A 15,175-nucleotide genomic window follows, 5' to 3' on the forward strand; every position below is an offset into this window, starting at 1 on the left:
AAGTCCAGGTCTTCACTTGGCCTGTGCTAGCATGCATAGGGACAAGTCATAGGTTTTTCATGATGTTTACCTAGAGTAGAGCAGTTACCATCTAAGAGTTTTCTGCCTTTCTAGGCTGCCCCTTCCTTGGTCCTTGGTTAAAGAGAGCAGGCTTTGGTAGAGCTTTTTGTCAGCACATGTTACTGTTTCCGGGTTGCTGGCTCCTTCAGCTCAAAACCTGAGATATAAGAGGCAAAAAGAAAACCCAGGGCCGGGCACAGTGGCTCACATCTGTAATCCTAGCACTTCGGGAGGCCAAGGTGGGTGGATCACTTGAAGTCAGGAGTTTGAGACCAATCTGGCCAACATGGCAAAACCTTCTCTCTACTAAAAAACTAAAAAAAAATACTGGGCATGGTGATTCATGCCTGTTATTCCAGCTACTCAGGAGGCTGAGGCACGAGAATTATTTGAATCCAGGAGGCAGAGGTTTCAGTGAGCTGAGACCATGCCACTGCACTCCAGCCTGGGCGACAGAGCCGAGACCATGTCTCAAAAAAAGAAAAAGAAAAGAAAAAGAAAACCCAGGAACTTGCCACTGCCTCATTCCTGAAGTCCTGAGGTCTCTAGGTTTTAGCCTGTTGGTCTCTTCTCTCCACCTCTCGGTGTCTTCTTATGTTTACTTTACATATAATATCAGGCATTTTAGTTGTACTTAATTAGAGGAATAGGGGAAAGTGTGATACTCCGTCCTCCCAGAATCAGAAGTCCCAAATTTTTAATATTAAGCAGCGCCATGTTTTAAGGAATAGGCATTAAAGTGTTTTCTCTTGTCCAAGGACTGAGAAGAACCAGGAGAATTTTGTCTGCTCTATTTCCTGACTCCTTTTCTATTAATACTTAAATGTGAGGTATTCAGCAACTATAGTCAGTTTGATAGCAAAGGTAGATGCTCCTTTGGCATTTAATGGTATGTTCTTTGAAAGAGCTATCAAAATTTCTGAAGGTTTTATTTGTACATTTTATTTCATTGTTTGGGCACTTTTTTGAGGCTGTGACAGTTTTTGTTTATCCTCCGTATTTCCCCCTGAGGGGTCTTGAGGCCATACTGGGAGGGCACAAGGGAGCCCAAGCCCAGGGACTTAGCCTTCTTCCATCCCTTCCTGACACAGGGCTTTCACTAGAACAGTGAAGTCAGACTACTGGTGGCCATGCTGGAGCATGAAGGACAGCTGTGCCTCTGTGGGTGGGCTTGGCTTTAGCTGTCCATAGCAGGCGAGTCATTGCTCTTTGCATTCCTGATTTAGCAAGAATATGAGGGGACCCCAATATTGCAAAGAAACTGTTGCATGTCTTTCTCTTTTCCAGGCAAAAACTGATTATTCCAAGTGGAAGTTGCCCTGTTATTCTGAATACTTACTTTTGTGAGAAAGTTGTTGCCAAAGAAGATTCAGAAAAAACTTGTGAAGTGTACTGTCCGGACATACCCCTTCCAAGAAGAAGCATCTCTTTGGCCCAGATGTTTGTAATTAAGGGTCTAACAAATAATTCACCTGAAATCCAGGTAAACTCCTATTGGCCTAAAGGTTTTATGCTTGTAATAATGTTAGTGACTGGATTTGGAAGGGCTTCAGTGTAAGTGAAGATGTTAGCCTTTTGTCTCCCTCCAAAAACCCCACCACAAGGATGTATGCTGCATGAACTTACTGTTACGCCTGAATATATTATAGTTCAGTTCAGCATTTAGTGGTGCTCTTGTTACAGTATTTCATCTTTCTAATTATGTGTCTTTAATCTTTATTCTAATTTATTAAAATAGAGTCATGCATCACTTAACAGGGATATGGTCTGAGAAATTTGTCATTAGGTGATTTTGTCATTGTGTGACCATCATAGCGTGCACTTACACAAACCTAGATGGTCCAGCCTACTACACACCTAGGCTATATGGTATGGCTGATTGCTTCTAGGCTACAAACCTGCATGGTGGCAAGTACTTGTGTATGTAAACGTATCTAAACATAGAAAAAGGATAGTAAAAATACAGTCCAAAAGATAAAAAATGGTGCACCTGTATAGGGTATTTACCATAAATGGAGCCCGTAGAACTGGAAGTTGCTCTCGATGAGTCAGTGAGTGAGTGGGGAGTGAATGTGAAGGCCTCGGACACTACTGTAGACTTTATAAACCCTGAACACTTGCACTACACTAAATTAAATTTTTTTCTTCAGTAATAAGTTAACCTTAATTTACTGTAACTTTCTAGCTTTATAAACTTTAAATTTTTCATTAACTTTTTTACTCTTTTATAGCAACACTTAGCTTACAACACAAATACATTGTACAGCTATAAAAAATATTTTTTCTTTATATCCTTTTTTCTATTTTTATTTTTATTTTTTTACTTTTAAAACTTTTTTTGTTGTAAACTAAAACACAAACATACACAATAGCCTAGATCTTCACAGGGTCAGGGCCATCAATATCACCATCTTCCACCTCCACATCTTGTCCCACTGGAATGTGTTGAGGGACAGTAACATGCATGAAGCTGTCATCTCCTTGGATAACAATGCCTTCTTCTGGATACCTTCTGAAGTACCTGTCTAAGGATGTTTTACAGATAACTTGTTTTTTAACAAGTAGAATACTCTAAAATAACAATAAAAAGTATAGTACAGTAAATACATAAGCCAGTAACATTGTTTATTATTATCAAATATTAGATACTGTACATAACAGGATGTGCTAGACTTTTATGCAACTGGCAACACACTACCTTTTTTTTTATACTTTAAGTTTTAGGGTACATGTGCACAACGTGCAGGTTTGTTACATATGTATACATGTTCCATGTTGGTGTGCTGCACCCATTAACTCGTCATTTAGCATTAGGTATATCTCCTAATGCTATCCCTACCCCTTTCCCCCACTCCACAACAGGCCCCAGTGTGTGATCTTCCCCTTCCTGTGTCCATGGGCAACACACTACTTTTGTTTACACCAGCATTACCACAAACATGTGAATACATCACTAGGCAACAGGAATTTTTCGTCTCCATCATAGTTTTATGAGACCACGGTCAAACATGCTGTCCATTGTTGACAGAAGCATCATTATACAGTGCATGCTGGTATTTGACAACGTTCATTTTCTCTATTCTTGTAATGTCTAAGAATTTTTAAAGCCCTCCTTTATTTATTTAAAAAATCATATTTTGCTTTTCCACAATATGTATTATCCCTTGGAATAAAAAGAACTGCATAAGCTTGAGTTTATATGCTGGAGTTGTTTTTTGGAATTTTACTGATCCTAAGCCATGATCATGTGCCAAGATGAATTTAGGGAACCACTAAAATTCACTTGCTGTGGGCATGAATGGCCCCTGGGACCACCCTAAGCACTGAATGTTTGTGTGGCTCCCAGTGCACTGGCCTCAAGATCTCTGGGTTATATAAGTTGTCGCTGAACAGAATGCTTCCTGAGACTGACAGATCAAGGGAGGAAGAATACGAAAGAAAAGTAGACAAACTTTCAGCCTCTTTTGTGCCAGCCAGTCAAGCAAAATCTCTCTTTGACTATCAAAAGAAGTATCTGGAGAGGATTATGCAAAAAGGAAGACTCTCGAATCAATTTAATTATAACATCAAAAATATGGCCCAGAGCACATTACTGTTTTAACATATAGTTTTAAACAGCTATGTAATATTAATCCCATGAGATTCATTTTTGTCCTGTGACAGTGATAATGAAACTACTTGTAGCATAATGGTTAAACGTGTGAACTTTGGAGCCAGATGACCTGGTTCAAATCCTGCCTCAGCCACTTCCTGCTGGGTCATCTTGGGCAAGATCTGTGGTCTCTATGTCTCAGTTTTCTTATCTGTAAAATGGAGGTGTGATATTATCTATCTTCTTGGGTGATTGTGTGAGGGTAAGCATGTTTAATATGTACATTTAAAAGCCTGGAATATAGGAAGCACTCTAGAAGTGTTGTTGTTTTATTATGACAGCTGATACTACGTAAGGGGTTGTTGGGAGAATATGTGAGCATGTAAAATGCTCAGCCTAGGAGATTGCACATACAAGAACTTAATAAAATGAAGCATTTGTATTATCCCTAGTCATTCTTTTATCTTCATTTTTAGTTTGTTCTGTTGGAATTCTTACCTCAAAAGAGAAAAATTTATTGAATTATCATGAATTATTTTATTAGCAGAACTTCCTGTGTGTTTTCAAAGACCTGCCTGGTATAGCAAACATCCTGCTGTGGTCCTTGTTCTTTCACTCGCCTTCAGCTTGCAGTCTTAGCCACCTGGCAGGCCCAGAGCCCCATGCCACAAGTTCCTTTATTTTCATCTTCATCATCACTTCAGTGTAGTGCAGATCCATTGGGTGGCTGCTTAAGGATGTCATTATTTGGTGTGCAGCATGTTGCTTGTTGTTAGCCGAACTGAAACTTTGTGAGTCTTGAAACTGTTCCCTTTATGTGTCTTGGCCAGGTTGTGTGTAGTGGTGTAGCCACTACAGGGACAGCCTGGACCCATGGGCACAAAGAAGCAAAACAGCGCATCCCAACCAGCACTCCCCTGAGGGATTCTCTCCTGGATGTGGTGGAAAGCCAGGGAGCTGCCTCGTGGCCAGGAGCTGGAGTCCGAGTGGTGGTGCAAAGAGTGTATTCTCTTCCCAGCAGAGACAGCACCAGGGGTCAGCAGGGGGCCAGCTCAGGACACACAGACCCAGCTGGAACTCGGTGAGTGCCAAGATGCTGGTGTGGGGCAGAGGTGAAGAGTCACTTAGACAGAGTGCTCTAGAAAGTGGAGCCTCTTCTCAGAGCACGTTCTTAGCTGCATTCACCATATACGTGAGCTGTTTTTGTTTTTCCTTGCATCAAAATTTGGGATACATGGCATGATGAAGGATTTTATCTATCTATTTAATTTTAAAGTCCTATTAAAAATTAAATTTGCTGCATTTTGTTTTACCTTTAATGGTTCATGTTCTTGAAAGTAATACAAATGCAAGAAATATTGGTATTATTCTGGAAAAGCCAAGACATGTGGTTGTCATACCTCAAAAGACCATTTGCAACATCCAGTTTTATATGTCTCGAAAACCTGAGTAAATAATGGCAATTGGTAAACCTGTGGCTTTCAGAGAGTACTGTATCAAACCATCTGCATCAGTACTGCCTAATACAACTTTCTGCAATGATGTAAATGTCGTCTGTCTGCACCATCCAATGCAGTTAAGTGCAGACAAATGTAGTAGAAGTGATGTTGTCTCTACTCAGATTTAGGCCCTTCCTGGTGTTGGTTCTTACAGATAGCTGTAGACGCATGATTGACAGAGAGGTTTGTTTGTTTACATCAGAGCCTCAGCATAGCCTTTTTTCTTTTTGCAATCTCTGCCTCTGGAGTTCAAGAGATTCTCGTGCCCAAGTAGCTGGGATTACAGGCTTGCACCACCATGCCTGGCTAATTTTTGTATTTTTAGTAGAGACAAGGTTTTGCTATGTTGGCCAGGCTGGTCTCAAACTCCTGGCCTCAAGTGATCCACCCGCCTCGGCCTCCCAAAGTGCTGGTATTACTGGCGTGAGCCACCACGCCCAGTCTGGCATAGCCTTTTGAAGTTATCTCTGGCAATGATAATTGCCCTCAAAGAAGTAACATGGATTTCCAACAGAATAGAAATTAAAAGTATAGATGCTACTTCATCAGTTTGGTTTTGTTTAACTATTAATAAGAAAACACGTAGTGAAGAAATAGTACTTAACAATCATCCTGGCCGGGCATGGTTGCTCACACATATAATCCCAGCACTTTGGGAGGAGCCCTAGGCAGGCAGGTCACTTGAGCCCAGGAGTTTGAGACCAGCCTGGGCAAAGCAAGAGAGCAAGACCCCATCTCTAATATAAAGACAATGCAATCATCCTATCATTATGCTGCCTTCTGATGCCAGAGAGAGAAACAGGATACCTATACTCCGGTGTGAATTATGAATCATCTTCAAGTGGAGGCACTTTATTTGAAAATACTATGAATTTGAGAAAGTCGTCTTGAGGTCTAGAGTTGGAGAATGTTTCTTTTGGAATTACAGAAAAAAGATTCTTTTTTGGAATATGTATGTTTGTAAAATCCATTAAATCAGTTTTAAGGTATTTATCATGGCTTGTAGATGTAGACCAGTCTTCTACCCTTTGCCCTAAATCTGTGGTAAATTTATATAGAATTTTCCAAGACAGTTACACATCAGACATAGGTTTTTGTTTTGTGTTTTTGTTTTGCTTGGCCTTTTTAATGACACATATCCAGTGTTAGGTTTTGAAGAAGGGGATACTAGTTACCTTGGCAATGAGGAACTTGGTAGAGCTTCCTCATCTCAGTACACAGACCACACACTCCAAGGGGACGAGGAAACAGAGACAGTGGGGAACTGAATCACCCTGACGAGAAAGAACGACAAAACTGACAGTGCGGTTGCTTCCTATGACTAATCACAACCAATGCACGTTATGAAGGCTGTCCCTCTAGGTCCTTCAGTGGTACTTGTTTTACTTGTTTAGCAAAGAGAGAAAAACTAGAAGCTAAAATCTGGTGAAATGCTACCGATGTGAGTTGCATTGTGAATGCTTTGGAGTTGTACTTTGGAATACATGTGGTGACATATCTAATGAGAATATCCTTGTGGTAGACTGAAAGAAGGCCAGGCATGAACTTCAAAAACAAGAAAACAACATCCAGTTATTCAGAGTTAATGAATATGCATTCTGTGTGATGCATTTTCTGTAGCACATCTGAGATTGCACAATATCGAGGCTAGACAATATTATTTCCACTTTGCAGATGAGGAAACACAGCCTCAAGGAGGATCTCACTGCTGACACAGGTAGACACAAAGAAAAATGAATGGGATATAGAATCCCAGATGGCATGGTTGTAGAGTGTTAGAGTTTAAAAGAAAAGGGAGAGGCTAGGCGCGGTGGCTCATGCCTGTAATCCCAGCACTTTGGGAGGCCGAGGCGGGCGGATCTCGAGGTCAGGGGATCGAGACCATCCTGGCCAACATGGTGAAACCCCGTCTCTACTAAAAATACGAAAATTAGTTGGGCATGGTGGTGCGTGCCTGCAGTCCCAGCTACTCTGGAGACTGAGGCAGAAGAATCGCTTAAACAGGGAGGCGGAGGTTGCAGTGAGCCAAGATCGTGCCACTGCACTCCAGCCTGGGGACAGATGAGACTTCCGTCTCAAAAAGAAAAGGGAGAAAATTGAGTTAGAACCAAGCCGTGTTTAGATTAAGGCTGACCCAGGGTCAAGTTGTCCAGGGCAGCAGAAGTGCAAGTGTTTTGCCCTGGGGAGACTTGGTTGGACTGTGTACAAAGATGAACTTTGGAACTAACGGCCGTAGTGCTAGCCTTGAGTTTGAGGACAGGGCTGCTGAGATGTCTTTGGGTACAAGAAGATCTGATCATTAATATTTTCTAGATTATTTTGCAGTGATAATGATCAGGCTCTCTAGTTTACATATCAAATTAATATAGAAGTAAAACTGTACTTTATTCACTACTAATTCTTTGCTAATATATTTAGAAAGAAAAACTTAGAGAATATATCTGCCTTCGAGACACATTTAGCAGTATGCATTCTAAGGCAGTTTTTTATACATGTACATGTAGCACGAATATTATTAGAAGATGCAGATGTGTAGCCTGGAAGATTTTCTGCCTGTGATTCCTGCTTTCAGCTTCCTGATCATAGATGACATATGGAATGCTCTGTGGGTCCCACAGGATGGACAAAGTTGGGCTCAGTTAGTACAGACTCATCAGCACAACACACACAGAAGAAGGAAAATTGCATAAGCAGTGACCCCTTTCAACTAAAGGCAGCTCTAAGTCTGGTCTCCTTGTCTTTCAGAATGGCTTTTCTTGAGCTCTTGTCATTATCTGCTCTACCCCAGAGATCTTTCAAACTATCCGTGAACTTAAAGACAACCTTGATTACTGTGTGTTTTCTGTGAAGTCCAGAAATTACCATGTCAGAAGAAATTAAGCCTGGGTGAAAAGAAACAGCGGTGTCTTATGGCAGATTTGTTTGCCACAATAGTTGCCCCTTCCCCACCCAGCCCAGGTCAGGTGGTTGCTGATGAAACCCTGTGGTAAATTTCTGTCTTAAGTTTACTTCACACCTTGATCGTAGGTGTCAATCTCAGTCTGTTCCCAGTCCTCGGTCAGTGTCACTTTTCTGATACCAGTAACAGCTTATCTTCTGAAAGCTGACAGCTCAATTAGTGCCAACCTCGAAATTAAAAGAAAATTTTTTGAAGCAGCTAGTCCTATTCAGGGTCAGATAGATTCTCTCAAAAGATTCATGTCCTCTGCACTGTGAAACATTATCAGAAATAGACTTTACATTTCAGAAATATAGTATGTTAGAGTCCCCTGTCCATTGTTCTTCTGGATGACTTCCTGTAACTTGAGCTATTAATGAAAACGTTTCTGTGAGGTTTCTCAAGGTGTTGTAGGTCAGAGTAACCAACGCAAACTTAAGTTTTATAAATCACTAAAATCAAAGGTAACAAAAAACTGATGCAGAAGGTGCTCCCTAACCACAGGGTAGGCAGTCTGTTCAGAGCCCAAACACACCTTTTTTATAGATAGACTACATGTTGAATGATCATTAGATAAATGCATGACTAATAAAGCCATAGGCTTTTTTTTTTTTAACAGAAAGGGAGCACTGGCCTTCGAGGTAACTTATAATGAAAACTGAGGCAAAGAGAGAAAGTGATGATTCCTTAGTGATTCTCTGTGTCCTGGTGGTGCAGGTCCAGACCATATTACCTCACTCCAAGCCCATGGTGATTGCCAGCAGACATCACCTTTCTTTCTCCCTTTCTAAAACATTCTCTTCCTTTCTTCTTGAGATATTTAACCTAGGGACCAGTAATTTATTTTTTTCTTTTTTTTGAAACATGGTCTTGCTCTGTTGCCTAGGCTGGAGTGCAGTGGAGCAATCATGGCTTACTGCAGCCTCAACCTCCTGGGCTCGAGCAGTCCTTCCACCTCAGCCTCCAAGTAGTTGGAACCACAGGCACGTGCCACCATACCCAGCTAATTTTTTTTTTTTTTTTTTGGTAGAGATAGGGTCTCACTCTGTTGCCCAGGCTGATCTCAAACTTGTAACCTCAAGCAATCCTCCTGCCTTGGCTTTCCAAAGTACTAGGACTACAGGCGTGAGCCACCATACCCGGCCAACTAATGTAATCTCTGTCCTTTAGAGATGCAAATTCTTTCTTGCCCTTCATTGCAGAAATATTTTAAAGTGGAGAGTTAGTCCTTTGCAAGAGGACAGAACGTGCTAAATAGTCGTGTCTTCAGACAAAAAGCTGGAGAAATTCACTGAGCTGAACTCAGAAGAAAAGCACATTTTCCTTTTTCCATACCTTGATGTTTTACTCCTCTTTTTGGTCTTTTGGCCTTTGCTTTATTCTCATGTTGTATATTTATTCCTTCTTTCCACTAAGGGAAAAAAAAATCCACCATGCCCTGGACCAGGTCCTGGGCCTGCAGTGGTTAACAAAACCAGACATTGTCTCTGTGCTCCTGGAGCATAGTTCTAGTGGGAGATCCCACACAAAATACTTTACAACAAATGCATTTATGATTACAAGTTGCAATAAGTACCCTGGTGAGAAAAAATAGGGCACAATGGAGAATGGACATAATTTAGTTTAGAGGGTTCAAAGATGGTGTTCTAAGGCAGTACTATTTAAGTTTAGGTGTTAGGTAAAGAGAAGATGAAAGAGAATTGCTCACAGAAGAGAGAATACCTTTGAAAAGCTCTTGGACAGGAGGGAGAAGCCAGCATGACCATGCTGCACAGGCCAGCAAGAGATCCCAGGCACGCAACCGGCCACAGCCTAGTGGACCATGTGCAGGAGCTGCAGTGTTTGCTGTGGCTGCCCACTGACCAAGAATGAGGTTGCCCTGCTTGAAAGTCAGCTTTAGCTACCAGGGGTTTAGTAAGATGGGCACATGGGGCAGGGCCTAGTGAAAGCAGAGAGACGCAGGAAGCAGCTACTGCCGTAGTCCAGGTCAGAGAGGACTGGTGGGTTCCTGAGTCTCCTGTGGCTTTGCCAGAGCTAGAGAAAAGATCCGTGGTCTAGATGTGTGTGATGGCTTCATAATGGATTGGTTGGGGGAGGAGCAAAGTAGAAGGGAATGTTCAGAGAGTGAGCCTCAGCTTGAGTTATTTAGTTGAAGGATGTTCCCATTTGCTGAGATGAGAAAAACTATAGTGAGAGCAGGTCTGGAAGAAAGCTTGAGAATGCAGTCTAGGCCTACTAAGTTTGAGATTCCTATGAGACATCGAAGAAGAGATGTCCTGTGAGAAAGCTGGACGTACATACCTTACGCCCAGAGGGTTTTAGATTGGACATGAATGTTTGGGAGCTCTCAGCCTATGTCTGGTCAGTATGTATCTTTGTATGTACATTCATTTTGTTTGCGGGTGTCAGCAGGTTATATTTGTTTATGGTGCCAAGCTCCAAAGGCACTAATGCGTGTGAGTGCAAGGCAGCAGTGTCCTGTCACAGCCAAGTCTACAGCCAGGGCTGTGGAGGAGGTCACTTTAGGGAAACAATAGAGACAAAGGAAAGAAGAAATGCAGGCATTGAACTCCAAGGTCCTCTTGCATTGGAAAGCAGGTAGAAGAGGAGCCCACTGAGGAGACAGAGGAGGCTGGGCTGGTGAAGCCAAGAGGAAACCAGAGCTCGTGGCAAGCGCTCAGGATGGTGCTTCCATGTGGGAGGGGACCCATAGTACTGCAAAGTCTAATAAAGTGAGCACTGAAAATCTGTGCCCCAGATTTGGGAGGAGTTGCTGGGTCACTTCACGAGCAGGAGGTGTAGGGAGCAGTGAGCACAGAAGCTCACTTAGCAGAGTAGAGTGGGTGGGATGCCAGAGGAGAAGCAAGCTTGGATAACAAATGTTTTGTTGATGCATACGAGGATGACAATGTCCAAATTTACATAGAACAAAAGAACTGCAATGAGGGCATTCTGTCTCTTGTTTCCTAATGTGTATGCAGGTACCATTTTTCTTTTAAATATGCATAGAGGCTGGTGGTTTAATGGAAAGAACAAAAAATCTGGAATCAGACTGGTGTGGGTTCACTGGTGACAGGACATTTAGCAGGGAGACTGGGGCAAATTGTGTTTCCTTGTCTGTGAAATTGGTATTATAATACTATAATGCAGACTGGTGGTGAGGACTGATTGGGATGATGTATGTGAAGTACTCAGCAGGATGCTTCCCATATGACAAGCACTCAGTAAAAAGCAGCTCACTCACTCTTTAACAGTAAGCATAGATGCTTAAAAAAAATAGTGGTAAAGAGCATTGCTACAATAATAGAAACCTGAACTAAGCAAAGACAAGCTATCGCATTACAAATCAGCACTCAGTGTTGGTACTGAGTCTGCCATCTGGCTGCTGAGGAAGCTTGCTTGAAGGTGATTTTTATTTCTATGCTTTTGGCCACCTCATTCCCCACCTCTACCCCTAGCACTCCCATCAACAAGGAGTTGATGCCCATTTACTTTGGAAAAGAAGCATTTGTGTAAATTTGTATGTGAAGTGTGACCACTGCTGTCTAAATGATGGAGATACGGAAGTTCCTCTGGAATAAACATATTGCAGAAAACTGCCCTAATGCTGGGGCCAGTGTTGAATGGTGCTGATACTGTGGTTGGAAATTTTTTTACTTTGTCCAGAGCATTAAACAAAGATCCCGGCTGGGCACAGTGGCTCATGCCTGTAATCCCAGCACTTTGGGAGGCCGAGGTGGGTGGATCACGAGGTCAAGAGATCGAGACCATCCTGGCTAACACGATGAAACCCCGTCTTTACTAAAAATACAAAAAAAAAAAAATTAGCTGGGCGTGGTGGTGGGCACCTGTAGTCCCAGCTACTAGGGAGGCTGAGGCAGGAGAATGGCGTGAACCCAGGAGGTGGAGCTTGCAGTGAGCCGAGATCGCACCACTGCACTCCAGCCTGGGCAACAGAGCGAGACTCCATCTCAAAAAAACAAACAAACAAACAAACAAAAAACAAGGATCCCAAACTCCTGATGGTGAGAATGGTTCAGATTAAGGCCGAATGAGGAACATGCACTAGTAGATCGTGGATGTGATGATTAGGGGCATTAGCCTTTGCATGTGTTTGGACAGTGGAGAAAGACTCTTGGATAAAGCTTACTAGACTCCTTTTGAAAAGCTGGTCAGCTGTGGCACACTGATTCCCCAGCTGTGTGCTCACCTGCTGTGTCCTGCTGGGTGAATACAGCTCTTCTCCCTGGTTGTGAACCGTTACTTTTCTTCCCACTAAACAGTTGGGAGATATTCTTGACTCTGCCTCCTTTTCTCTGTATGGAGACAGGGTGGCATACATTCCTTCGCTGTAACGGTGGCATATGCCTGTCTACAGTTAAAGAGCCTGAAGGGAAGACAGCTCCCTCGTCAACAACACAGGGGACCATTTCACCTGCTTTTCTTTTATGTACCACCACATACTGCCAGAGCTGGCAGAATGACTATTCATCCATCTGCTTAGCATCACATTTTCATAAGGTGGTTGTTGTCACTCATACTTTCTTTATTTCTGAAGTCTCTTTGCTTCTTCCTGTTGTAGAAAAGTTGGAATTGTTCCTTTTCAATGATTTGAATATTTTTTATTGTAATGTGAAAGATTGTGAGTGCAGAGTATCATTTTTTTTGCATGTCCTTGTAATTGATGCCATAGCCCATGCCTTAGGTTTGTTCTTACCTTTGCTCATTCAATAAATTTAAATCATCCCTTAATTAATTAGTTCTGTGTCCATGAGTCTTAAGTAAACCTTTTAATCTCAGCTGCCCATCTATTCTTAACCTTTGCTTGTTTCCTCTCTAAAACAGTTATTGGCAGTCCTTATGATATCCAAGGCCATTTGACATTGTTTCTTCTCAGCCCTGGCTCAATATTAAAGCCTAATGAGGAACATGCACTAGTAGATCATGGATGTGATGATTAGGGGCCTTAGCCTTTGTGTGTGTTTGGACAGTGGAAAAAGACTCTTGCATCAAGCTTACTAAATTTCTTTTGAAAAGGTAGTCAACCATTTTGACTCCCTGAAAATGTGGTCAGATATTTTCAAAAGAAATCTAGTAAGCTTGATCCAAGAGTCTTTCTCCACTGTCCAAACACACACAAAGGCTAATTCTAGTAGTAGAAGTAGTCTTACTACTGCTTATTTTACTAATTGACATCCAGACCCTTTATATTCTTTGCCATTCTTCCTGTCCACATGCCAACTTACTGTAAGAATAAAGACATATCAGAACCCATGGAATTACAGTCTAGTGTTTATGGTTCTGTCATGTATACATAGTTCCAATCTAGAAATTGGAACTTGACTCATGGGGACCTGAAGGAATCTATCTTATCTCTATCACATTTTTAAAGAGCTTTATTGATACATAATTCACATCCCATAAAATTCATTTATTTAAAGTGTACAATTCAATTGTGTTTATTGTAATTACAGACTTGTGCAATCATAACTATAATACGATATTAGAACTTTCTGCAACCTCAAAAAGAAACCCCATACCAATTGACTGCCAATTCCCAATTCTTCCCAGCCCCTGGCAACCACTCATCTACTTTTTGTCGCTACAGATTTGCTTATTCTGGATACTTCATATACATAAAATCACAAATCTTTCGTGACTGGCTTCTTTTACCTAGCATAATATTTTTAAGGTTTATCCATGTTGTGACATGTTTCAGTACTTCATTCCTTGTTATGGATGAATAATAATCCATTTTCTGTGAATATACCATATTTTATTTCTCTTTTGAGTTGATGCACATCTGAGTTGTTTCCACTTTATGATTAACATGAATAGTGCTACTATGAATATCTGCATACAAGTTTTTTGTGTGGATATATTTTCATTTCTCTTGAATATATACCTAGGCATGGAATTGCTGAGTCATAAGGTAACTCTATGTTTGATTTTCTGAGGGACTGCCACAGTATTTTCCAAAGTGGCTACACGATTTTACATTCCCATCAGCAATGTAAAATATACCAGGGTTCCACTTTCTCCACATCCACTCCAAAATTTGTTATTGTTGTCTTTCTTATTGTAGCCATCCATGTGTGTCTGAAGTGGGTATCTCATTGTGGCTTTGATTTGCATTTCCTGATGACTAACAATGTTGAGCATCTTTTCTTTTTTTTATTTTTTATTTTTTGAGATGGAGTCTCGCTCTGTCGCCAGGGCGGAGTGCAGTGGCACGATCTCAGCTCACTGCAACCTCGGCCTCCTGGTTCCAGGCGATTCTTCTGCCTCAGCCTCCCGAGTAGCTGGGACTACACGTGCGTGTGCGCTACCACGCCCAGCTAATTTTTTGTATTTTTAGTAGAGACGGGGTTTCACCATGTTGGCCTGGATGGTCTCTATCTCTCGACCTCATCATCTGCCTGCCTCGGCCTCCCAAAGTGTTGGGATTACAGGCGTGAGCCACCGCACCCGGCTGAGCATCTTTTCATAGGCTATTGGCCATTTGTATATCTTCTTTAGAGAAATGTCTTTCAAGTCCTTTGCCTATTTTTAAAGTTGGATTATTTTTTGTTGTTGAATTGTAAGAGTTCTCTGTATAAGTCCTTTATCATTTGCAAATATTTTTTCCCATTCTGTGGAGTTTTTCACTTTTTTGATAGTGTCCTTTGAAACACAAAGATTTATCATTTTAATGAGGTCCAATTTGTCATTTTTGTTATTATTATTGCTTGTGTTTTCAGGGTCATAGCTAAGAAACCATTGGTGAATCCAAGGTTATGCAAACATACTTCTGTGTTTTCTTCTAAGAATTTTATAGCTTTTGCCCTTATATTTTGGTCTGTGATCCATTTTGAGTTAATTTGTGTGTATGGTCCAACATTGTGGGTTGGACCCTCCTTGTAGTTAGAGATTATGTTTAGTACTAGTAGTAGTCTTTATATTTTATTTAAATGTATATCTTATTTTTGGCATTTGTTACAGTTTGCACTGTTACGTCTTTGTGTGCATAGCATTTCTTCCTTTGTAGGTGGCAGAAAATGGATCCATTTCTCCACCCTTTGTCTCTTTTAGCTTTTATCATTTTAT

At 41.4% G+C, this 15,175-nt stretch overlaps 1 protein-coding gene across 57 annotated transcripts in view, besides 1 other annotated feature; it reads left to right on the forward strand.

Moving 5' to 3' along the window:
* Positions 1–15,175, forward strand: part of SPIDR (scaffold protein involved in DNA repair) — a 475,429-nt gene that overhangs the window by 333,586 nt on the left and 126,668 nt on the right. For 56 of the 57 annotated variants that reach the window (NR_148202.1, NR_148205.1, NR_148204.1 and 53 more), the window contains 2 exons: positions 1,348–1,543; positions 4,483–4,733. Coding sequence is in view for 52 of the 57 variants with exons in the window: in XM_017013268.3 (XP_016868757.1) it covers positions 1,348–1,543; positions 4,483–4,733 (447 nt within the window). In the remaining 5 variants the exon portion in view is untranslated. The remainder of the gene's footprint in view (positions 1–1,347; positions 1,544–4,482; positions 4,734–15,175) is intronic. The other variant, NR_104581.1, reaches the window with a different exon arrangement.
* Positions 4,497–4,556: an enhancer, noted in NCBI's record as "active region_27328". NCBI's record gives its function as "activates an Ori minimal core promoter by ATAC-STARR-seq in GM12878 lymphoblastoid cells {active_cell/tissue: GM12878}" and the evidence as "EXISTENCE:reporter gene assay evidence [ECO:0000049][PMID:35858748]".

Source organism: Homo sapiens, chromosome 8, assembly GCF_000001405.40.
Source record: "Homo sapiens chromosome 8, GRCh38.p14 Primary Assembly".
Lineage (NCBI taxonomy): Eukaryota > Metazoa > Chordata > Mammalia > Primates > Hominidae > Homo > Homo sapiens.